This window comes from Homo sapiens, chromosome 21 (assembly GCF_000001405.40).
Source record: "Homo sapiens chromosome 21, GRCh38.p14 Primary Assembly".
NCBI classification, from domain to species: domain Eukaryota; kingdom Metazoa; phylum Chordata; class Mammalia; order Primates; family Hominidae; genus Homo; species Homo sapiens.
The window spans coordinates 18,154,309-18,181,709 of record NC_000021.9 but is presented as its reverse complement, the minus strand read 5'-3'; the positions used below and the strand labels follow the sequence as shown (position 1 = coordinate 18,181,709).

General features: G+C 35.7%; 1 protein-coding gene across 4 annotated transcripts in view, besides 1 other annotated feature; it reads right to left on the bottom strand.

The window, feature by feature from the left end:
• The window catches only part of CHODL (chondrolectin), a 350,031-nt gene that overhangs the window by 85,661 nt on the left and 236,969 nt on the right, over positions 1–27,401 (bottom strand). The gene's annotated exons all lie outside the window — the stretch shown is intronic.
• Positions 25,686–26,218: an enhancer, noted in NCBI's record as "OCT4-NANOG hESC enhancer chr21:19527809-19528341 (GRCh37/hg19 assembly coordinates)". NCBI's record gives its function as "activates a minimal SCP1, AML or CMV promoter by ChIP-STARR-seq in primed H9 embryonic stem cells {active_cell/tissue: H9 hESC(primed)}" and the evidence as "EXISTENCE:reporter gene assay evidence [ECO:0000049][PMID:30033119]".

Genomic DNA, 27,401 nt, shown 5'->3' with positions numbered 1-27,401 from the left:
GAGAATAAGATGTGATTCTTGGCTGGGCGCGGTGGCTCACGCCTGTAATCCTAGCACTTTGGGAAGCCAAGGCAGTCGGATCACGAGGTCAGGATATCCAGACCACGGTGAAACCCCGTCTCTACTAAAAATACAAAAAATTAGCCGGGCGTGGTGGCGGGCGCCTGTAGTTCCAGCTACTCGGGAGGCTGAGGCAGGAGAATGGCGGGAACCCAGGAGGCGGAGCTTGCAGTGAGCCGAGATCCCGCCAGTGCACTCCAGCCTAGGCGACAGAGCGAGACTCCGTCTCAAACAGAAACAAAAACAAAAACAAACAAAAAAGTGATTAATAGTTACAGGGCTTCTTTTGTATGCACTGTAATGCTCTAAAACTACATTGTGGTGATGGTTGCACAACTCTACTAAAAACCATTAAATTATATACTTCAAATGGGTGATTTTTATATGTGAGTTATATTCCAGTGCAACACTTTCACAATGTGATAATGTATGAACATATACATAACAGTTCACAATTCATTTGTGCCAGGTTAAATTACATATCACCCTTCCCTTCACATTCCTATTCATAACACTTCACCCTACCTGAGAATAAATAGGAATAGGAATAAAAGAAATAATAACAAGTACTCTAAGTACTATTTAAATGCCTAAATAATATTAGTAACATTGACTAGTAATGACACTACTAATAAAAATCTGTTGCTATTGATTATAATTTATTTAGCATTTACTATGTTCTAGGCTTAGCATTTTGTATTCAAATTAATTTAATACTCCTAACAATCCTCTGACAAATAAGTGTTATTAATATGTTTACACATGGAGAAATTGAAGTTCAAAAAGTTTTGATTAATTGCCCCAATTTATAAGCCTAGTAAAGAGCAGAAAAGATGAAGGTAATTCTAGCTGATTCCATATGCGAAACTCCTAAACAATATTTGGCCTCCCCTGCAGTAGCCTGATAAATATGTGTAACTAGTTTTAAAACACCCTGTTTGATCACACGTTTAGAATTTGCTCCAGTATTTATTTGCACCAACTGGGTGAACACTGGGATCTTGAGCAACACACAATGCCTCATCCACATTGGCAGGAGTCCTTCTGAGATAATATTGTGTAGGCAAATTAATAACTACGTAATAATGTACCGTAAGAAGATACAAGGTTACTTCTACTTTGAGCTGTGGATTTTAAAAAATTTCTGTAACAGGAAACATGCAGTTTCTCAAAGTACAGCTTTGTCTTAAGATGTTACCAATAATTGACCAGGAGCAGTAGCTCATGCCTATAATCCCAGCACTTTGGGAGGCCCAGCAGGAGGATTGCTTGAGCCCACGTGTTTGAGTCCATCCTGGGCAACATAGTGGACCCCATCTCTACATAAAAATTAGTTGGATGTGGTGGTGCGTGCCTGTGGTCCCAGCTACTTGGGAGGCTGAGGTGAGAGGGTCACTTGAGCTTGGGAGGTCAAGGCTGCAGTGATCCGTAATTATGCCACTGTACTCCAGCCTTGGTGACACAGCAAAAGCCCATCTCAAAAACAAACAAACAAAAAGGATGTTACCAATACTAATAATAGAAGTTAACATTCATCAAAATGCTAACTATAACCTAGGCATTGGTGCTTTACATGAGTCAGCTCATTTAATCCCTACAACAATACTATAAACTAGGTACTATTATTATCTTCTTATAGATGTGAAATATGAAGCAGAATAAAGTAGCAGAGCTATGGTATCACTAGAGCCCATACCCTTAATATCTACCCTATAGTCACTCCAAATGCTTCAAATTTGTTTCAGTTAATAAAAATTATTAAACAATGTCACAATTAAAATACATAAATAAGAAGGTCATATGTTGTCAACAAAAATTAAAAATTACAGTGTTAAGACAGGTACGTTGACAAAAAATGGAAATATTTTAGACATTTTAATTTATTCATAAATATATATCTAAACATTCCTGATGTTGCTTGTGTAAAGAGTTTACATTTAGAAATCTCATGAGTCCTCTGTGAAGTACAAGGAAAAGGAGAGTGGAGGAAAAAGAAAGGTCATTATCAGACATAATTGGTCCCTACATACCAACAAGAACAGGAGAATCAAGATAAAGTGAAGGCCTCTTGATTTACTTATCCCCAAAAGCTGTTCTTTGACTAAAGGGTAAAACTGCCACAACTCTAGAGTGGTAGAAATAAGAGGACTTGCAAAAGTTTCTACCAATTGAGAGTAGGCTGATGAGAAATACTAAAGCAAGAGCCGTAACTGGCTTAGGTTGGTGCTAGCAAATCTGAAACCAGAAACCACATAGAATCAATTCAAAATGGTGAGTAGAATGACAGAAATGATTTCAAGGTGGTATTCTGAAAAACAAAGTAATTAAGACAGGAATCGACGAACAGAGGCTGACTCCCAAGTGTTTGGACTAAAGACAGAAATGGGTCAAGTGGGTCAAAGGGCAAGTGGAACAAATAGAGACCAAAGGAGAAACCTGACCGAGATTTTTTCCAAAGCAAATGGGTAAGTCCTGCACCACCTCAAAACTCCACAAATGGCGGTTTTCAACTTGAGGCCTCAAGTTTCTTGAGGTTTCAAAGGTTTGAAAGCAATATCAAGGATAAGTTTATGTGCTTGGGGGTGGTTAGCTTTCTTTTTAACAATATTTAATTCTTATCAACAGAAGAAAGGGTTTTGGAAAACTGGCAAGAAACAAGATAAACTTCCAGAAGACATTACTCTATTGGCTCCATCCTCTGATGCAATCCCATAGTAAACAAATAGGGTATGTGTATCAAAGCTGAAACTCAACAGTAACAAAAACAATTGATAACCACAACACTTTCTAACATACATGACTAAACTCTATGGTTGATGCTTAAACAACACAGATTTGAACTGCACAGGCCATTTATATACAGATTTTCTTCCACCTCTGCCACCCCTGAGAGAGCAAGACCAACCCCTTCTCCTCTTCTTCCTCCTCAGCCTACTCAGCATGAAGAGGGTGGGGATGAAGACCTGTAGGATGACTCACTTCCACTTAATGAATAGTTAATGTATTTCCTCTTCCTTATGATTTTCTTAACATTTTCTTTTCTCTAGTGTACTTTATTGCAAGAATACAGTATATAATACATGTAACAGATAAAATATGTGTTAATCAATAGTTTATGTTATCACTAAGGTTTCCAGTCAACAGTAGACTTTCATTAGTTAAGTTTTTGGGGAGTCAAAAGTTATACATAAATTTTAACTGGAAGGGGGGCCAGCAATGAATACCACATTGTTCAGTGGTCAACTGTAGTTATGAGTGTGATATGAATTGTGATAATCTGAAATAAAAACTTACTTTTGGACATGGAAAGGAAAAAGATAAAGCAAACTACTGCAAAGCAGAAAATAGTACCTGTAGTTACCACTGTCACCTCATGTCACTAAAACTCATAAAATCTAAGGAAATACTGTAGAATACGGACTTTTCAAACAGCCTCATGAAAATAATTAACTTGTGTCTGGTATATAGTTAGGAAATTTATATCACAAAGTATAATTTGAACTATATTAGAAAATTATATTGTAAAAGTGGTGGCTTTACACTTAATCAACTAGGAGACCTCTAAGCTAATTATTAGCAACCATGAGACTGATGCCTAATACTTATCCCAAGCGAATTTCTCAAGGTTAGATCTACTGTGGAAATTGGAGAGGAAATGAAAATATTGAGAAACATCACAGCAGTGCTCTCAATGAAAATAGATATTTTTATTTGGACCAAGTAAATAGCTTTCTCAAAGATTAACAAATTTGTTTATTCTAAACCAGTTGAATAAACTCAAGTTTATTCCTGAAAATGTATTATAAATAATTTACCAGTGATGTGCCACTCTAAACCAATGGAATAAACTCAGTTAATTTTTCTTCAAAGTGTATCTTAAATAATTCATTAATGTTGTCAAGTAGATAATATAACATTAAGTAAATCTTAAAGTGAACAAAATTTTGATAATTAGTTTAACCTAAAGAAACCTAACTCATTGACTAGACTGGTACGATTTTGTTCACAAATGTTGGCACATTTTCTGGCATTATCCCTCTGTCTATGAAGTATCTGTGCATTTCAATTTTGGGTCAAAAGATAATTTGTTTGTGAAGTAGATTGATACTAAATTGCCCAATGTGTCAGATCATCATGGATTCCATTGAGATAAAGTCAAAATATAATTTTGTAAATTTTGTGTGCCATGAATTATGCTGAAGCTACATACACAGAAAAATATAAAAGAAGCAAACAATAAATATCTATATAAAGGAAAGAGCTAGACTCTAGAGTAAGAAGAAACTGGATTATTTAAATCTCAGTTATTCAGTTTATTTGCTGTTTAAGAATGTTAAACAATTTACATAAACTTTTTCAACCTGTTTACTAAACCACAAAATAGGTTTACTAATGCCTGCCTTGCATTTGTAGGATTTACCATAATATATTTAATTCTCTTAATGTGGTACTTAGTATATACTGAATACTATAGCAATTTCTGCCCTTGTTAGTGTTATTATTTGTATAATTATTATCACACTTTGGACTTTTTTGATGAAGAAGTCAGAAATTGTGGTGTATTCTTGATTTAAATTCTTTATTTTTTAATATAATTTTAATAACATTTTGTTATTAACCTCATAGCTCAAGACTCTCTGCAAATAATGGATTCCTTCTAATCCCTTACCCCAACAACCTATAATTAAGTTTTATCTTCTTTCTGCAATGAATGTTGTGTTTATTTTCCTTTTTGTCTTCCTTATGTTGCCTGTCTCATGGGTCACATGTTCATCCCCTCTTGATCATCCTTGTACTCTTGCCTCCAATTTCTCTTCTCCTACCCCTCCTTCATCCTATCTATAAAATAATTTTCCTAAATTACATCTTTGATCATAACATTCCTCCATTTCAATAAACCCTTTTTGGTTTCAAATTGCCACTAAAGTTGAATCTACTTATCCTTGGGCTGAAAATACATTTAGTTCAAGCATACTTTTCTGCAATAGTTTTTAATCTTTGGAAAAAATACTAATTTTGCTTGAACTCAAGGACAATAGATAGCATTAGATAAACAAGCTTCAAAAAACTCAAACAAAACTTCGCTACTCTGAAGGAATTAATTGTATTTGCCAACACAAGGGAGGCAATGGTACATTTTGTTATGCATATCTTAGAACAAGAGTAAATCATGAAGTTCATTTATATGTGTTCATTTTTATCTGTTGTTTATAGTAACTATTGATGTCTTTAGCTATAGTATATAGATATGCACAATGAACATGAAATCTTACCATACTGTTTTAAGAGGCTCTAGCCTTTGATTTTATGAAACAGATATAACTAACAGACTACATGAAGGTCTTAACTGTATCCCTAATAATGGACCTAGAGTAGCTGACCTCACACTCTCCAGATTTTCTTAATCTCATTAAGCTTCTTTTTCACATATTTCTTTGCCAATTCTTCTAACTTATCTCTAAATGTTTTTGTTCCTGTTTTTTCAGTCCTTGATCTTCTTTTTATAAACTTGTTCCTTAGGTGATCTTATTCAGTCATATGGATTTAAATATAACCGGCATGTCTTTATTTTCCAATTATTTCTCCATCCTCAGACTCTTTTGAGTTTTAGATCTATATATTTAATTACTACTATAAATCTCTTTGGATGTCTAAAACACTTAACAAAATTAGTATTTGTAAAACTGAACTTCTAATCCCTTCACCAAAAGAAAAGGTTTGTTTTCTCCATTGCCACAATGATGTTGTCTTTAGCTCTTTTCACAAGCCAGGGTCTTTCTTTCATGCCTTTCTTTCACATGTCTAGAATCCTTTGCCAGCCACTCTCTGGCTCTTAAAAATTCAAGGTTAGTTTGAATGTCATCTCCTCAAAGAGGACTTTCCAGATTATCCAGTAACAGCCTCTCTTTTGATACTCTCTATCTCAGTACCGTTTGCTTGTTCCATATAATTTGTTACAAGCTGTATTCCATTTATTGGTTACTTTTTCATCTGTCTCCTTTATCTGATTATAAATTCCAGGAGGGAAGGAACAATATCTTTCTTTTTTTTTTTTTCTCCAGACAGTCTCGCACTGTCGCCCGGGCTGGAGTGCAATGGCGCCATCTCGGCTCACTGCAACCTCCGCCTCCCAGGTTCACGCAATTCTCCTGCCTCAGCCTCCCGAGTAGCTGGGATTATAGGCACACACCACCACGCCCAGCTAATTTTTTGTATTTTTAGTAGATATGGGATTTCACTATGTTGGCCAGGCTGGTCTCAAACTCCTGACCTCGTGATCCATCCACCTTGGTCTCCCAAAGTGCTGAGATTACAGGCATGAGCCACCACTACCTGGTACACAGTGGCATCTCTGAAAATATTTGCCAAATGAATGAATAGATGAAAAAGACAAAAAGACACTGGATGGGTATGTAAGATACCATGGTAAATGAGGATTCCTTTACTGGGTATCATTAATGCATCTGTACTGCAATTTAGAGAGCCTCAATACATAAAAGCAGAAAAATCACACTATAAAGTAAATGTTTTAACAGAAGATAATAACCAGTTCATACAATATTCACATTAGTCTAAGTGCTTCACAGAATTAACTCAATCCTGTCTACAAATGTATGGGATATCAACTAGTATTATATGCATTTCACAAATAAAGAAACAAGGGGGAAGTTTGTCTTGCTAAAAGAAACATAGCTGAAAGTGGAAAATCAAGGATTTGAGCACAGATACTTTTTCAGAGTCTGCATGCTAAACCACAATGATTTACTCTAAGAATTTGCTAAAATGCCTTTATATCTAGGCATCTATCTTACTATTTTAAATTTGGTTTGATCTGCAAAACCACAAAGCACAAGTAAACCCTCAGAACTACATCTGTGGCACAAAATAAGGTACAATTTTATCCTTGTCCAGGCCTGACAAACAAGCTCTGCCAGGTTAGAAAGTGAGTGTATGTTTCCCTAATTGATTCAAGTGGAACTTTCTGGTCCAGTTCTTTCTGATTAAAAAAAATCAATTTAATCATTTTAACATATTTTTTGCACACTCATACATTCATCCATTAGTTATCTCCAAAAGCCCTGTCAGCAATAATTGTATCTTCAAAAAATGACAAATTAAGAAAAGCTTATAAACTTGGCCTTAAGTATGAAAGTTAATGGCTAAGAGTGACTGTGTTTTATAATCCAATGTAGTCCTTAAAGAATTTTAGAATTATTGATGTCATAAAAATTTCATTTAATTCAAACTTTAGCATTAAATTTCAAAGAAAACTAGTAGATATCGAATCCAATTCTTGGAATAGCACTTTACCTAGTATAAAAAAATTGCAAGAAAAAATTATTTTGTGTGCTATGTATATATGATTTTCAAATACAATCTCCATATCTAGCGTTACATTATTTTTTAAGTTTGTTTTTGAACACAGGATTTCCTTTGATAATGTAAATGAAAATAACTGAAACACCACTACTCTGAGAGACTTGATTTTATATATATATATATATATATATATATATATATATATACACCAAGATATATATATATATATATCCTGTATTTGTTTCCCCTTCTACCTCCCTGCCAAAAAACTATTTATGAACAGTACGGATGGTTATTTAGATTTTTTTCTGTTTGAAGGTATTTTGGCATTTCATTTTAGAAACTCGTTTTTAAAATTTTTATCAGGGATAAATAGTAGTGTTATAAGTACCTTACAAACAAGTCAAGATTGGGTCAAACATGTACATTATAATTTTCATTTGGTTGCATAATTTTTTTTTAATTTAGCCTTTACTTACATCTAAAAGGGATACCTTTATCCTGTGAAGCTCAACATTGCTCCTCATATAAAACACTCTGAGAAAATAACCCATTCATGGGAAACTTGGTATTAACAATATAAATATTTTCTCATCCCGTAGCAAGAAAATATATTTACATTGGAAGAAGACCAATGTAGATAGCATAGACTTTTGATTATTGACTAAGGCCTTGAGAGCAGAATTAAAGCAGCAAAATATATTTGTGTAATCAATAGCAAATCCCCAACCTAAGCAAGCCCTGAAAAGACCATACTTTACAAGAACTTGCTCTTGTCACACTGAGCATTAGATTTTGACTACATTTGTCATTTGGAATATAGTCAGTATGCTATTACTCTATAGTAATGCTTGATGTGATTATTACATTATGAAGATACAAAAATATAAATTAAAATGACTGAACCGATTAACAAAATAAAAACTTCTTATAATTTACTATAGGAGGTAGACAGGATGCTATGACAATCTCAATGGCCCGTGACCTTGGATAATGCCTTCTTCATGAGTATGTATGGGACCTATAACTTGCTCCTGAAAAATGAATATGACAAAGGTGATGAAATATTCCTCCTGTGATCATATCGTGTTAAGTGACAAAGATGAAGAGATTCAGAAGGTGTAATTAAAGTCTCTAATCAATTGAATTTAGGTTAACTAATGGAGATATTATCCTGGATGAAGCTGCATAAGCAGATAAGCTTTTTAACAAAGGGTATAGAGGTCAGAGACGTAAGAAGTGAGAGGGATATTATATTTCTGGTTTTAAAAAAGCAAGCAGCCATGTTCTTAACTGCCTATAGCGTGGAGTGGCCTCTAGGAGCTGAGAGCCTCAGATCTAAAACTGCAAGGAACTGAATTCCACCAGTAAACTAAATTCTGCCAGTAAACTGAATGGGCTTGGGAGAGGACCACAGCTCCAGATGAGAACCTACCCCAAGATGACACCCTGATTTCAGCTTTTCAGAAACTCTGAGCAAAGAACCCTCCTGAGCAGTACTCACATTTCTGACCTTTATTAACTGAGAGGCAATAAATGGGTGTTGTTTTAAGTCAAAATTTTTGGTTGTTACACAGCATAGAAAACCAAATAGAAGATGGGACTTCTGCAATGAGGGAACAAGGACTTCTGAAGATCCACTCTTCTGTAAAAATGATAAGAACACTAGTAAAAATTGTCAGAATCAACTTTTTCAAAACTCTGTAAGTAACCAAAATAGTACCAATTTGAAGAATGTTTATTCCATTAAAAAAAAAATGGCTGAATCTGGGTAAGGAAAGCTGTCTTTGTTGTATTTCAATGTGAATTAATCCCATAGCTATCTCTCTACCTCTGAAGTGACCCTGAAAAAATAAATAGGTGTACAATAAAGTTAGATATAAGAACTCTAGCCTAGCAGCCACTGATTGGGGCAAAAGAGGTTTAGAACTGTTTTAAACCCAAAAGTCTTATTCCCAGAGAAATATCATTATTGGACCTGTCTGGCTGCTCTCCGGAAACCTCCACTCACAGGACTTGTCTTTATTTAACCTGGTTCAGAGCTCACTCACTGTGAATAACATTTTCCTAAGGTTTGTCAGAAAAGTAAAACAGTGGCAACTGTCTAACACAACACCTGCTTAAAGCAGGGATAATAACTGGAGCAAATAAGAGGCTCAAAAGAAAAAAAAATAAAAGGAAAAGCTGTGGGATGAGATGCTCATAGGGGAATTTGAAAAACTCTGACATATTCTTAGGAATTTAAATGGTCATGAAAATATGTAAGGCTGTGCCCCTGCCTAGGAAAGACATGGAAAGTCCCTATCTTCTCACATGTGGCTAATCTTGAGGATCTGTACAGGTAGAAAGTGAAGATTAAGGCACAGTTGTAAATTGCTGGAGCATTGAAGGTATGCACCAACACTCTTAAAGAGTCCCTTGGAATAAGGAAGGAGACATACTTTCAAGGCTTTTAAGGAAAACTCTGTCCAATTCAATCATTAGCTGGCCAGTAAGCTAACTGAGAAGAGACCTAGTGGACACATATGACAAAGAATACAGACCAGCAACAGCAGCAGCAACTACAAGAGCAAAAAAAAGAAAAAAAAAAAAACTGAAGAGAATATGGGGGAGAAGTATCTAATTTTCAGAGATGCCATATTATCTAATATGTCCAATTTTCCACCAAAGAATTGTAAGACATGCAAAGAAATAGGACGAATGGCCCAATACCAGGAAAAAGAATGAATCAGTAGAAACTGTCCCTAATGATATCCAAACACTGAAGTTGCTAAACAAAGATTTTAAATTGGCTCTTATAAACATGTTGAAAGAACTAAAGAAGGCCGGGCGCGGTGGCTCACGCCTGTAATCCCAGCACTTTGGGAGGCCGAGGCGGGTGGATCATGAGGTCAGGAGATCGAGACCATCCTGGCTAACAAGGTGAAACCCCCGTCTCTACTAAAAATACAAAAAATTAGCCGGGCGCGGTGGCGGGCGCCTGTAGTCCCAGCTACTCGGGAGGCTGAGGCAGGAGAATGGCGTGAACCCGGGAGGCGGAGCTTGCAGTGAGCCGAGATTGCGCCGCTGCAGTCCGCAGTCTGGCCTGGGCGACAGAGCGAGACTCCGTCTCAAAAAAAAAAAAAAAAAAACTAAAGAAAACCATGTCTGAAGAACAAAAAAAAAAAGTATGAGAACAATGTCTCATAAAACAGACTATCAATTAAAAAAAAAAACAAATTCTGGAGTTATAAATTACCAAAATAATTGAAATAATAATCCTAAAATAAGACTGCCAAAGAAAAATACCACACTCAGCAAAATTATCCTTCAAAAACAAAGGAGAAATTTATATATCTCCAGGTAAACATAAATTAACAGAATTAACACTAGTACAACTGCCCTACGACAAACACTAAAGAAAGAGTGTCAAGCTAAAATAAAAGGATGCTAAACAATAACTCAAATCCAAATGAAGAAAATAAAGTGTACTAGTAAAGTTAACTGTCTCAGTTAAAGACAATATAAATGTATTTGTTGTTTGTAATTATTTTCTTCTAACTAATTTAAAAGACAACTGCATAAAACATCATAGATAACTATTTTGGTGGATTTATAATGTATAAAGTCTCACATGAATGACAATAGTTCAGAGGATAGAGAGAAAATGAGGTTATGTAAGAGTGAAATTTTGATATACAATTGAAATTAAGTTGGTATTAACTGAAATAGAGTGTTATAAATTAAGACGTTAATTGTAATCCCCAGGACAACCAATAAAAAGATAAAATAATACGGAAATTACAAGGAATTAAGACAGTACACAGAAAATACCTGTTTAACCCCAAATAAGCCAGTAATAGAGAAGTACAAAAGAGACATAAAACTTATAGAAAATAAAAATTAAAGTGGCAGATGTAGATTCTGTTTAATCAGCAATTATATTAAATGTAAATGCTTGAAATATGCCAATCAACACACAGACTAGCAGAAGGAAAAAAGTGACATCTAACTATATTCTGTCCACAAGTTTAGTTTGAAAGACACAAACTAATTGAAAATAAAAGATGAAAAAATATATACTATACAAAGAGCAACCAAAGGAGAACAGCAGTGGGTATACTTATATCGAAATAGGCTTTAAAACAAAAACTTATTTCTAGAAAAAAAGATATTTTATGACAGTAAAGGAGTCGTTCCATCAGAAAGACATAAAAAAATGAAAATATACATGCACCAAAAAAGCCCCAAAATGCAAGAAATTAAAACTGATAGGATTGAAGAGAGACATAGACAATTAAAGAAAATGCAAAATCCAATGCCTCATTTTCAATAATGGGCACAACTAGTACAAAATTCAAAACTGAAATGCGAGAATCGAACAACACCATAAAATAACTGGATTTAATAGCTAGAGATCAATAACAGAAGGAAATTTGGAAAATTTACATTTATGTGAAAATTAACACACTCCCAAATAACAAACCAGCCAAAGAATCAATCACAAGAAAATTCAGAAAAACTTTGAGATGGGTGAAAATAAAAACTAATCTAGCAAAATTTATGGAATACAGCTAATGTGGTGCTTAGAGAGAAACTGATATCTAAAAAATGATCATATTTTAATCGTATTTTAAAAGAAAACCTAAAATCAAAAACCTAAACTTATCCGTTTAAAAAATTAGATAAATCAGTGGAAATAAACAAAAATAAGCAAAAGAAAGTAAAGATTACAGCAGAAATAAATGAAGAATAGAAAAACAATAGAAACAATTTTTAAAAAGAAGTTGTATTTTGAATCATGTGGTTCCAAAGACTGACATTTCCTGACTTCAAAACTTACTACAAAGTTACAGTGCTCAAGATACTGTGGTCTTGGCATAAAGATAGATAAATAGATCAAGATAAAAAAAAAAGATCAAGAAAATGGCAAAACTTTAGCTAGATTAATCAAGAAAGAGAAGACTCAAATTACTAAACCAGTAATGAAAGACGGAACATTACTAGTTACCTTACAAAAATAAGGAGAATTAAAGAATATAATTCACAATTATATATTAATGAATTAAATGAAATGGACAATATTCTAGAAAGACACAAAAATGTACCAAAACTGACTCAAGAAAAAATAAAACATCTGAATCAACCTCCAACAAGTAAGGATTAAATTAGTAATCAAAAAATTTTTTACAAAGAAAAGCACAGCCTTTGATGGTTCTACTGGTGAATTCTGTCAAACATTTAAAGAAGTAAGACCAATTCTTCACAAACTCTTGCAAAAAAAGATGAAGAGGAAACACTTCCCAACTTACTCTCTAAGGCCTGTATTACCAGAATTCCAACACCAAAGACTAGAACAACTAGATATCCACAAGTAAAAGAAAGAAGTTGAACCCCAATCTTACATCATATAAAAGAAGTGGTTCAAAATAAACCATAGATTTACATGTAAGAGCTAAACCTATAGAATTCTTAGAAAAATATACATACATAAATATTTGTGGTCTTATATTAGTCAATGTTTCTTAGACATTACATAAAAGTGCAAATAACAAAAGAAAAAAGCAAGACATTTACTTCATCAATATTAAAGCATAGATTCAAAAGACATCAAGAAAGTCAAAAGACAACCCATGTAATGGAAAAAAATATTTGCAAAGCATACATTTGATAAGGAACTGGTATCCAGAATATATAAAGAACTCTTACAATTCAACAATAAAAAGACAACCACATTTTAAAATATGCAAACTATTTGAATATAGATATTTCTCCATAGAAGACATACAAATGGCCAATAGGCACAAGATAAGATGTCTAATATCATTAATCATTAGGGAAATGCATATCAAAACCACAATGAGATTCCACTTCACATGCACTAGAATGGCTAAAACAAAAAAGACAGACATTAGTGTTGACAACTCAAGTTCTGGAGCAAAAATGCTTGGATTTAAATTTAAGCTCTGCCACCCACTGACTATGACCATAGGCACGTTAGTCAGCCTCCCCAGATGTATTAGTCAGGGTTTTCTAGAGGGACAGACCTAATAGGATAGTTGTACACATAAAAGAGACTTTATTAAGGCATATTGACTCACACGATCACAAGGTGAAGTCCCACCATCTGCAAGCTGAGGAGCAAGGAAGCCAATCTGAGTCCCAAAACCTCAAAAGTAGTGAAGCCAACAGGGCAGCCTTCAGTTTGCGGTGGGAAGGTCTGAGAGACCCTGGCAAACCACTGGTATAGGTCCAGGAGTCCAAAAGTTGAAGAACTTGGAGTCCGATATTTGAGGGCAGGAAGAATTCATCACAGGAGAAAGATGGAGGCCAGAAGACTCAGCCAGTCTGGTCTTTTCATGTTCCTCTGCCTGCTTTTATCCTAGCCACACTGGCAGCTGATTAGATGGTGCCTGCCCAGATTGAGGGTGAGTCTGCCTCTCCCAGTCCACTGACTCAAATATTAATCTTTTTTGGAAACACCCACACAGACAAACCCAGGAACAATACTTTGCATTTTTCAATCTGATCAAGTTGACACTCAATATCAACCATCACACCAGGTCTCAGGTTTCTCATTTGCAAAAGGGTACAAATAGCCTACTTACATCATAGGCTTGTTTTAATGTTAGTTTAAATAACAAAAATAAAAGAAAAAAATAAACAGATACAAAGATAAAGTGGTGAATTTTAAAATGGTAGAAATAAATCAAAGAGCTGATCCTTCAAAAATCTTAATAAAGGCCGGGCACGGTGGCTCACGCCTGTAAACCCAGCATTTTGGGAGGCCAAGATGGGTGGATCATGAGGTCAGGAGATTGAGACCATCTTGGCTAACACGGTGAAACCCCATCTGTACTACAAATACAAAAAATTAGCCGGGCGTGGTGGTGGTCGCCTGTAGTCCCAGCTACTCTGGAGGCTGAGGCAGGAGAATGGGGTGAACCTGGGAGGCGGAGCTTGCAGTGAGCTGAGATCACACCACTGCACTCCAGCCTGGGTGACAGAGCAAGACTCCGTCTCAAAAAAAAAAAAAAAAAATCTTAATAGAAAACACTTCAGTAAAAACTCTTTCCTGCCCCTTCTTCCAAAATACACACACACACACACACACACACACACACACACACACACACACAGAGAGAGAGAAATGGGAATGGTGAAATAACTTTTTATTTTAAAAGATTAAACAATTCTAAAATTGGATATTTGTCTCACCTGTATACAACTATATTTAAAAATCTGATTAAATAAACATATTTTTAAAACATGAATTACCAAACTGACTCTGAAATAGAAAAACAAAACAAGTTGTTTTACCAGAGGAGAATCTAAAAAAAATTAAGAAATCTACTTCCATTCCTACAAAAAATTCCACAGAATTACTAGGCTTAAATATTTTCATAGGTACATATTAGCAAGCATTCATGGAACAGAAAACTCCATTGCTGTTTAAAACACTCAAAGTATAAGATGGGAAATTCTTCACAGTTCCACATGACATTGGTCCCCAAACTAAAAGACAGGACAATAAAAGGAATCTATGGGATCAAGGATATCCACAAATTATGATTTAAACTCCTAAATAAAATTATAGTACAAAAGAATTCAGTAATATCAAGTAAGGTAATTTCAAGAATATCAAGTTGATAAAATTTGAAAATATATTAATATAATTTAACATAATAATTCACAAGACAAAGATGTATTGTGAAATAGAAATAGATACCCTTTATATCAGACAGACGTACTCACATACATCTCAAACCCCGAATTAGCATTGTTTAATGGAGAAATGTTATAAACATTCTCTGGAAGGCAGAATTTTAAGACGGACCCCAAGATTTCTACTTCCTAATGTTCATACCTCATACAACTGCCTCCCTTTGAGTGTAGTCAAAACCTGTAATGATAAGGGGTATCACTCCCTTGATTGTACCATGTTACATGGCAAAAGGGATTTTGTATGTATAATTAAGGTTACTAGTCAGTTGATTTTAAGTTAATCAAAAGGAAGATCCTCCAAATGAGGCTGTCCTAATCATAAGAGCACCTGGAACTTCCCTGGAAGATACATTTGAAGCGTAAGAGGGTCTAATGGAGAGCTTGTGGGGCACATGTGGCAAGGAGCTATAGGCAGATCCTAGGAACTAGGAGATCCACCAGCTGACAAACAGCAAGAGAACAGGGTCCTCAGCCCCGAGCCACACAGAACTGATTTTTACCACTAATCATGAGAGCTTAAATAAGGACTCCTATCTCCAGAAAGGGTGCGGCCTGGCTGACAGCTTAATTCCAGCTTTACGAAACCCTGAGTAGAGAATTCAGCTAAGGTGAGCCCAGATTTCTGATCTACAGAAACCACAGAATAAATTTTTACTGTTTTAAGCCTCAAGTCTGTAATAACTTGTAATATAGAACAGAAAGCCAGTATACATTCTAAGTTAAGAACAAAACAAAAACTTCCAACTTAAAATTCATCTTAAAATAATAGTGTAGCAGGTAGTATTTTCTAAAAATGGCCACAGGAGTCATTTAGATTCAATACACTTGTCTAGGACTTTGTCATTCTCTCATTAAAAGGTGGAGATTATTTACCCTGCCACTGAAAGATAGAATATTTTTGTGACTCTCTTGATAAATAAAACTACAACAGAAGTGACACCGTTTGAATTCTGAAGTTAGGTTCTGAGGAGCAATTTGGCTCCACGTGGCTCCCTCCTTTTTGAGGGACTGTGTCTTGGAAGCTAGCTACCATGTTGCAAAGCAGCCCATTGTCCAGAGTTTTAGCCATCCCTGCTGCCCTGAGCAGAGCAGAGATGATCTGTCCTTACCAACTGCTGCTCAAATTGCAGATTTGTGAGCCAAATAAATATTATTGCTGTTTCAAACCATATGTCTGAGTTTCTATATGCAGCAATAGATACCAGAATGTATAATAAATGTCAAAGGAAAAACATTTTAAAGATTAAAAGGAGGCAAAATTATCTTTATTTAAAATGATGAATCACATGATTATAAAACAGAAAAACTTAAGTGGATCGACGAAATAAAAACAAATATAAAATACCACAAGTGAGTTTTGTGATGGTGATTTTTTCTGTCAAGAGGGGATGATGGCTTGTATGAGTACAGCAGTTCTCAACTAGAGTAGACTTGTTTCTCCCAAATGACGATTGTCAATGTCTGGAGGCGTTTTTGTTTCACAACTTGGGGAACACTACTGACATCTAGTGAATAGAGGTCAGAGATGCTGCTAAACATCGCACAATGCACAAGACAAGCCCCATGATAAAGAACTATCCGTTCCAAAATATCAGTACCACTAAGCTTGGAAAACACTGTACCAATGTGATGGCAATAGAGATAGAAAAAAAGAGGACATGTTCCAGATATTCAAGATATATATCAGAGGTGGAGTTAACAGAATTGTTTGAGGGAGAACATGGAAAGAGAACAGTAACTCCTGGCTTTTTGGCTTGAGCAGCTGGCTGGATAGCGGAAGCATTCCAAGTGAGAAGAACTGGGACACACATGTTCTGGGTTTGGGGTAATCGACAGTTTTGTTTTAGCTAATTTAAGTCTGAGATGTCTATCATAAATCCAAGTAGAGATGTCAAATAAGTGGTTAGACAGTTTTGGAGATGAGGAAATGACTAGATGAGGAAATGACCAGGGCTAATGACACAAACTTGAGAATCATTAGGATATTTCTCGTTTAATCCTCACAAAAATCTTATGATGTAGGTGTTATACTCATCCAACAGTTGAAGAAACAGAAGCTACAGGAAAAGTTAAGTCATAGAATTAGTGATTGCCAAGGCTAACCTTTGAAACTAAATTTGTCTAATTCCAAAGCCTTTGCTTTTAACCACCAATAAAAAAAACTGAAGTTGACTACACTAGCCTAAAGCACCAGACTCCTAAGTTGTCTAGAACAGAACCCTTGACTTTTGAGTGGTCTAGATCCTACTTATATTGTAGTTATTTTTAAAGTGCCACTGCAATTTTTTAAGCTTTCTTGAGATTGAATTCCTGGCTTCATGCTTGCAATGAATATATCTTAATTAAATCCCTCCTGAAGATATGAATTTACTTGCCATCTGGATTGCAAGAGCAGCTCAGAGACTTTCAATTTAATTGAGGTGCAAGCCCTTTTGTTTGGCCCTGTGCTGCTTGGCAGCCTGGGTCCTGTTGCTGTGTCTGGGGCAAGCTTTCCTTCAGCCTGCAGTCAGCAAAATGAGACATCAGGAATAGTGCTGATGCCTGGATGACTACAACCCAAAACCACTTAATTAATATAAAAGTTTAATGCATTTGGTAATTAAAATTCTTTTAAGATAGACAATAGAAACAACTCCTTTTGTAAGCCTTTAATCTATTGTGCTACAACAAATGAAGTTGCAAAGGGAATTTAAATGGGGTTGTTCTTTTTTTAAGCATTAATCACACTGGGGATCAGTAAAATGATAACATGTGTTTAGCTGTGGTTGATTGATCAGTACTCTTGCTAAGTTTTGAGGCTTCTCTTTATAGTGAAAGCCTTTTTTTTAACACAGAAAACCTGTACATGAGAGATTCCCCTCTAAAAATGCAGATTATCAATGAAATATAAACAATACCTCAAGAAACTTAAAATAGCCCCCAAACAAGCAAAAACGTGAAAACTTAAGTTAGCAAATGTACTATAATGCAAACCATCTTTTCATCCTCCTGACACTCTTAGGTTTAAGTAATTTACCAAATATTTTGTAATATAAAATTTAAAAAGATAATAACCCAGTACCCATTTAGTAACAAAGTATAGAACCTACTAGAATTTTGGTCCTAGCTATATCTTCCTCAAAACAAAAAGAGCTTCCCTGTCAAATATGAGAACTGTCTTTCACATTTACTCTCTAGGGGAAAAAAAAGGCAATTGAAAAAATCCTGCAGTATAAGAAGAACAAACAAAATGGTTTAATTTGTTCAGTCCAATATTTCCAAATGTTTTCAGTCATGTAACTTTTTTAGAAAGTGACACCCATTAAGATGCTACAAAACTAATATTCTAAGAAGCAAGTTTAGAGAAACACTTGATTCCTCCACCCAAACTTTGACACTTGTTCATTTAGGAATGCTATTAAAGTATAAATAAATCACTTTCCTGCCTTATCATAATTCAATTGTTCAATAAATATTCACTTACATATATGTACCAAAATCCATGTACAAAAATTTTTATAGTAGCACTATATGTTAATAGCCCCAAACTGTAAACACTCTAGTATCCTTTCCAGTAGAATGGCTATATAGATATAGATGATATAGACATAGGTATAGATAGCTACAAATGTAGACATAGACACATAGATATATATGGCATAAACATTCAGTGGAACACAGTATAGCAATCAAAATGAATGAATGGAACTGAGCATGTTGGTGTACACCTGCAGTCCCAGCTGCTCAGGAGGCTGAGGCAGAAGGGTCTCTTGAGCCCAGGAGTTTCAGTCTAGCCTAAGCAACATAGTGAGACTCTATCTTGAAAAGAAAAACAAAAATAAAGAAAGAAATGGAAGACTAATAACACAATATGTACAAGTTGCATTAATGTAATAGCAAATCAAAGAAGATGACACAGAAGAATATATGGTATATAATTCTATTTAATTGAAGTTTAAAAATAGTTATTATGGGTGGAATTATCTCTTCTACTTCACATTCAAATGTTGAAGACCGCACTTTCAGCACCTCAAAATGTGACCTTTGTTGGAAATAGGGTCATTGCAGATGTAATTAAGTAATATGAAGTTATAGTGGAATAGTGTGTGACCCTAATCCAACGTGACAAGTGTCCTTATTAAATGGGTAAATTTGGACACAGACACAGACACACACACTTACATACACAGAGAGAGAGAGAGAAAGAGAAAGAGAGAGAGAGAGAGAGAGAGAGAAAACACCACGTGAATATGAAGGCACAGATCAGGCTGATACTTCTACAAGCCAACAAATACCAAAATTGTCAGCAAACCACCAAGAATTAGGGAAGAGGGATGAAACAAATTCTTCCTCACGGCCCTCAGAAGGAACTGTCTCTGCTAACACCTTGATGTTGGGCTTTTAGCCTCCGTAACCATGAGACAATAAATTTCTGTTGTTTATGCCACCCATTTTGTGGTGCTTTGTTATGACAGCCTTAACAAACTAATACAACAGGCAAAATCATTTCATGGCATTAGAGGTCAGGATAGTGACTATCTTTGGGTACATACAGGAGGAGAAAGAGGGGTTAGTGGTTAGTGACTTGCAGAGAGCATAAATTACAGGTGGAGGGTGGTAGTGCGCTTCTAGGGAACTGACAATATCTTGTGGGTGGTAATAACATGTGTATGTCATTTTGTGAAAGCTCAACCAGCTGTACACTTAGGATTCACATACTTTTCAGTTTGTAGGTTATACTTGAATACATGCATTTGTTTAAAAAGGAAATATTTACCAGTGAACGAACACAGTCCTACCCTTAGGAGCTTTCAGCCCAGAGAGAGATGTAGACAAGGCAAGAGTGAAATAAATTCTGATGAAAGTTTCAGTACAAATGCAATAGAAATACTCGCAGCCTGTGCTGGGGTGTAGGGAGGATTAGAAGAATAAAATTCCCCGAAAAAGTTAATGACAAAAATCTAAGACTTGAAAAATGAGTAGAAACAGAGAAGTGAACAATGTGTTCTATCAGAGCAAACAGCATGCACAAGACTAAGGAAAAAAATAAAAAGTAAAAAGTAAGAGAAAGCATGACCCATTTAAGGAACAAAAAGTTGTTCCATTTGGCTGACTCTCAGAGTGGAAGGTGTGAAGTGTGAAAAGAGAAAGCGGGAGAAATGGACAACAGCTAGTAAATGGGGAGCTTTGAAAGAAAGAAGCTGGAAAGCATTGTAGGCATGATTACAACTTAATTGGAAATCAAATATTATATCTTAAGGTGTTTATGAAAGAACATGTATAAATGTATGAAAACATGTCTTTCCCTTTACAAGATGGAATTAAACTCTGCAAATATCAGGAAAAGATTCTTCGTTCAAGCTAATCATAGTGTTCACGTTTTACAAAAAACCAGTACCAAAGACAGGGTATGTGTTTTATGCCTTTACATCTATAAGGAACTTAAACAAATTTACCAAAAAAATCCCACAAACTACCCCATTAAAAAGTGGGCAAAGGACATGAACAGACACTTTCCAAAAGAAAACATACATGCAGCCAACAAGCATATGAAAAAAAGCTCAACATCACTTAAGAAACGTAAATCAAAACCACAATGAGATACCATCTCACACCAATCAGAATGGCTATTATTAAAAAGTCAAAAAATAGCAGATACTGGCAAGGTTGTGGAGAAAAAGGAACACTTATACACAGTTGGTGGGAATGTAAATTAGTTCAGTCATTGTGGAAGACAGTTTGGCGATTTCTCAAAGACCTAAAGACAGAAATACCATCCAACCCAGCAATCCCATTACTGAGTATCTACCCATATGAATATAAATCATCTGTTATAAAGACACATGCATGTGTATGTTCATTACAGCACTATCCACAATAGGAAAGACATGGAATCAACATAAATGTCCATCAATGATAGACTGGATAAAGAAAATGTAGTATATATACACAATGGAATATTATGAATCCATAAAAACAGAAGATTATGTCCTTGCAGGGACATGGATGGAGCTGGAAGCCATTATCCTTAGCAAACTAACACAAGAACAGAAAACCAAACACTGAATGTTCTTACTTATACGTGGACGCTAAATGTTGAGAACACTTGGACACATAGAGGGTTGTACCCTGGGGCCTTTTGGAAGGGGGAGGGTGGGAGGAGGAGGAGGAGAAGGAAAAATAACTAATGGGTACTAGGTTTAATACCTGGGTGATGAAATAATCTGTACAACAAACCCCCATGACACAAGTTTACCTATGTAACAAACCTGCACTTGTACCCCTGAACTTAAAATAAAAGTTAAAAAAAAGAAGAGAAAAAAGAAAAGGAATAATACTCTTTTACCCCCAAAATAATTTAGGGATCAGTTCTAAGAGCACTGGTTTTTAAATTCTTCTTCCTTTGAGACCTTGTCCCTTAACTTACCAGTTATGTAACCCTGTGTAGATCACTTTATCTCTCCAGACATTAATTTCCCATCTGTGATTTAAAGAAAATGATAGTTCCTTTCTTCTAAGATTGTTGAAAGGATTAAATGAGATATGCAATAAATACTTGTATGAGTTTACTGTTGCTACTATAACAGATTATCACAAATTTAATAGTTTAAAAGAACACAAACATTTTTATATCTTACAGCTATCTAGATCTACATTCTGATGAGGATCTTTTCAGGTTAAAAGCAAAGTGTTAGCAAAAATGTGTTCCTTTCCGAAGACTCTTAGAATCCAGTTCCTTGCCTTTTCTGTGTTCTAGAGGCTGCCCACAGTCCTTGGCTCATGGTCCTCTTCCTCTGTCTTCAAAGCCAACAGCACCAGCAGGTCGAATCCTTCTCATGCTGCCATCTATCTGATTCTCTGACCACAGCTGGGAAAAGTGCTCCATTTTTAAGGACTCACATGGTTAGATTTGGCCCACTTATAGATCATTTGTATCCCAAAGTCCTTAAAACCAATCACACCTGCAAAGCCCCTTTGGCCATTTAAAGTAGTATTCACAGGTTCTGAGGATTAGGGCATGGGCAAGGTTGGGGAATGATTCTGCTTCCCAAAATACTAAACACAATCCGCAAATGTAGAAAGTTCTCGAAAATCATCAGCTTGTTTTTAAATTCTTTCCTTTTTTGACAATTAAGTCATGAGTTCGTATAACAAATTCACTCCAATAATATTTCAAGTTCTCCTATAAAACTGAGGGTTTCAATATTTAATACCGCATCTTTAGAAAAAAAAATCTCAAACAGCAGAAAACTTTTCAATTAATAGTGGTGGAGGGGAACAAAATAGTTCCCATATTAAATCATCACTATTTGCAACTTTATATACCAGTTAAATCTCTGCCAAACGTTTGTGTTTAAACATACTTTGAAAGTTTTCTTACCTTATGCCAGGGTTTGTCAACCTTGATGATATTGACATTTTGTGCTGGATAATTCTTTGTTGGCGGGAGGCCTTTCTTGTCCTGTGCATTGCATTGTGTGGCAGCCTCCCTGGCCTCTACCCACAAGCTGGTGACAAAAATGTCTCCAGATAGTGCCAAATATCCCCGGGGTAAAAAGTGTCTGCATTTAAGAACCACTGCTCCAAACTAAAATGTATTAACTGTCTGGTTAATGGAGTCACATTTAAGGAATTCCACTGAAAACAAAAACCAGAAAGTGCTGTCAAATGTTGGTAAAAACCGAATCTACTTGTGATATATGGCACATTTTTATTTGCCTACATGCACAATACACTAAGAAAATTGAAGAGTAAATATACATTCTGATGCATGCCTTTCTTTTCTTCTTCTTTTTTTTTTTTTTTTTAAGACGGAGTTTCACTCTCGTTGCCCAGGCTGGAGTACAATGGCAGCACCTCGGCTCACCGCAACTTCCGCCTCCCGGGTTCAAGCGATTTTCCTGCCTCAGCCTCCCGAGTAGCTGGGATTACAGGCACCTGCCACCACACCCAGCTGATTTTTGTATTTTTAGTAGAGACAAGATCTCGCCATGTTGGCCAGTCTGGTCTTGAACTCCTGACCTCAGGTGATCCACCCGCCTCGGCCTCCCAAAGTGCTGGGATTACAGGCATGAGCCACCGTGCCAGGCCGCATGCTTTTCTTGAAATGTCATTTTTCTCAGCAATAATATTTCTTAAGAATATAGGTAAAATGAATAGAAAATGTAAATGGAAGATGCAGGTGCTAATTAACATGAAGGTCTGTCTTCTAATTAAGTCTTTTGAATAATCTATGCTTCTGTGTTACACCTCGCAAAGCAACATCAATAATGACTTTTTATGTGAAGCACCTTCTGTTACCACTTTTAAAGTTTCAGGCAGATGCTAAAAGGGGCCATCTTCATAAAACTGAAGTTTGACTAAAGAAAGGATGAATGATTTAATAGTACTCAAGATTGAAAGAGAAAAAATGATCTGCACAAAACCTATTGTATACCAGGCTCTGAATATTTTTCTTGTTCATGAAATGCAGTAATTGTCTTCCATTTTCACTACAACTACTCAAAACAGCTTGCTTCTAGTGTCCTAGAAGTTCCACTAATGGCAAGCACCTGAATTAAAAAAAAAAAAAAAACCTTTTGGAATCTTGCAAGATTGAAATGAATCCTCAAAGCACGCTATAAAACCATCTTAATGTTTCTTATTGCCCAATTTATTATTGCCTTTCCTTTTCTGTCTCTTTTTTTTTTACTTCTTTTCTGGAATAGATTTATTTTCAGTTTTTTATCTATTTTGGCAATATCGTCTTTAAAAATGGTAAACCCAGAAAGTTAGAATTAATAATTATTGTATTAATCCTATGCCTAGATTATATTATATAGATTATGACCATTTGGTATATGTCAAATTGAATAGAGTTGTATAATCTATCCCAAAATTTAGCAAAATAGTGTTACTATAAACCAAGCCTTCAGTACTTAGGTCTAGCCAATATAATACACAGCTATAAAAGACTTGTGTAAACATTGGATGTTATCCAGTAATTACTAGAGATGATGAGACAGTTTGGAATATGGCATTTTTTGCTCACATGTTATGACCCAAATGAGAACATCTGCCTAAAGGCATTATGGTTAGGCCATCTGCTGTTTGGCTGACACAACCTGCCTTAATGAAGAGAAATAAAGCCTTCATGGAGAATATGTACAAATGGAATATATCTATAATGTTACGAGTGAACTAAATAACAACAGTGTCATTGCACTTTTCAATTTAACATTTGTTCTTCTCATCACTGTTATCAGAATATGTAATCTCATTTCTTTTTTGACCACAAATAAAAATGTTTTTCTGTATAGTTACCAAGTGCATAACGGTAATAATGGCAATATTGATGGTAGTTAGGAAGATACTCTCAATTGGATAATAAATAAATACACCATAAACATCATGACAGATTGTGTTTCCAGAGATACCCACAACGTATCTTCCATCTCACAGATCCTTGCTTCTGCAAGCTAAACTTGGCACTCCTCCAACTGAGAGGTGTATATGAACACAGTCCCTGTGCATGTAAGCAGGTGTGTGACTCGCCTGTAATCAACAGAAGGGGTGACAATGAAGGGAGTGGTACCACATAGCTTCTAAGGTAACTTCTGCCTTCTTCGCCGCAACACTTAAACTTGGAACTTTGAACTTGCATGTAAGCTGCCATGTTGTGAGGAACTTAAGCCACTCAGAGAGGGCAAGGATAGGCATACTTGCTGTCACTCCTAGACTCTGGGTCTTGCCAGCCAAGGATCAACATGAGAGTGAACAAGTATCAGCTGACACTAGGACCCAGACTTCCCTCCTAGCTATCGAATCTTCTAACTGAAGGCCCAGACATGTAGAGCAGAGAAGAGCCATGCCCACTGTCCGTTTCAGAAACTCCTGACCCACAGAAGCAATGAGCACAATTAAAGCTCTTTTTATGCCCCCAAGTTTGGGTTGGTTTGTTTCATGGCAATCGTCGTGGAAGAAACAGGCTCACCATAAGCAAACATATTTTAATTTGATGTTCATATTAAATTTAACAGGAATAACAGCAACAAACCCATAAGCAATATTGAGCTTCATTGATACCGTATTGACCCAGAAAGTAGACTTTAAAATCAGGTTCCTCCAAATTTTGCATTGACAGTTATATGAACGATCATTTTTATTTTTTAAAATTATTTTTTAAAACGTTAATTTTTAAATTTTATTTTTAATTGACAAATGATAACTATATATGTGTGTATATATGTTTGTATTCATGTATACTTCACGACATTGGGCTGGGCAAAGATTCCTTGAATGTGACTCCAAAAGTCAACAGCCAACAAAAACGAAAATGAACAAGTGAGATTGAATCACACTGAAAAAATAAAATAAAACTTTTAAATCCTGAATCTGTAGGCCAATGCTAATTTTCAACTGTAGCTACTTTTCTTCTTTCCAAGATCAATTGATTGAACGTAAGTTGCCTTTAAGAGTATCTTTTTACCCGTGCAAAATTTCTTCAGAAAAATTTTCATCAAAAAATTATCCCAGGTAGGGCAAGTCACTTTGATTTTCCTTTCTACCCACGTCCAAGGTCAAAAGAAATACGTCAGGTCATACTTCAGCAGAGAATTTCCCATTGCTGTTGAGTATCTCACACTACAGACAGTTAAACAGCAGTAGCACTTGGCTTCTGACTTGAGTATAAGTATTCCATGTCCACAGGGCCTTTAAATTGCTTGGTTCCAGGATTTCCTTTTAGCAAAATGATGACCCTGAGACTTTAAAGCTATTTACTGTAAGTGGCCTTTATCTAGCATTGCTTAGCAATTTATGCTAGACTGCAAAAGACTAGAATTAAATCAGTAGCCTCCTCACTAGACTGAAGGACCTGCTGTCTAAAGCCTCCCTTTCAAAACAACATTCCATTCAGGGTTATTGTTTCCGTGACTGCCTTTCTAATGCTGATAACCTCAGTGAGAGAAACCACTTCCTGACTAAAGTGTTATATAAATAACATGATTTAGCTAAACTCAATGGCCTTGTATTTCTACCACAAGGTTTCTCTAACAACCTCGAAATTCTGCCCTCTGTTTTGTCATATTTGAATTCACATTCTTCTTGGAAGATGTGTTGAGAGTGAATACTGTTCTCTCTACTTGAAGCCACAAGTTTGCAGAATTAGAGGGAAGAACCTCTTCTTTCCTAGCTCATATTTCACTGTAGGCCTGTTGCACCATCTATTCATTTCCTTCTCTCCAGAGGGTAATTTGTAAGAAACTTTGGAGGGAAACAATGAATCCACAAGGCACATGAATTCTGGGTTCCTCCATGCCATTGAGTTTGCAAGGACAGGTTCTTTCAAGGGAGAACTGAGGGCTTGGCAACGTTGGGGACTGGGATTGGGTAAGGCTGACCTGTTAGCCTGTTTTCTTATATCAGATTTATCAGGAATATCAGTGACACTTTGCTTTCTTCAACCTGACTTTTACACATCTCTCATTTGTTTCCCAATTATGATGGGAAACAAAGATATGAAAAAATAGTCACCTCTAGTACTAACAGGATGAATAAATATGTCTGTCTAACCCTATATTATAAGCTAATTTACAGTACAGATTTGCTAGAAGCCCCGCTCAATTCCCTAATTCCCTGTGGCATTAATTCAAGTTTGTCTTTCAGGTCACAACCAAGCTATGCCCTACATGGTGATGACCTTGTGCCTGTCCACTATTATTATTCCATCTGCTTCTCTCAGCCTTCCCAGATACGATCTCTACATATCTCCATCATCTTATACAGACTTGAAATTTTCTCCTACCAACTTTAAGCTGTTAGAGAGCAGTGAACCCATCATTCTCATTTTGTTGTCACCCATATTTAATGCATAACATTAAATACACTTACAGAACACACCATAAACATTTGTTCATTAATTTTAGGAAGCTGTGGTAGGAAGAATTCTAAAGATGCTGCTTCCCCAAGATTTCCTTCCTTTAGTTATTCAATCAAATGTTAATCTGAGTATTTCTATGAAGGGAAGTTCTAGAATTTAGGACGGCAGATGGAATTATGATAATTAAACAGGTAACCTTTTTTTGAGACAGAAAAATTTTTCCTCTATCCTCTGAATTCTGTATCTGGGGGCTTTTGAATTAAACTAAAATTAGATGGATTAACAGAAGAAAAGGCACACCATTTTATTAATATTTACATGAATGATAAATTGCGGAGAAGCAACTAGGAAACATACGGGGAAACTAATGAAAGCTAAGGACTAAATTTGAACTAGAGGAAGATAAGATCTGTTCATGCAAACTAATCCTGGTGTCAGCTCCCATCTTTGATGATAAGAGTTCTTGTGTCCCTGTTAC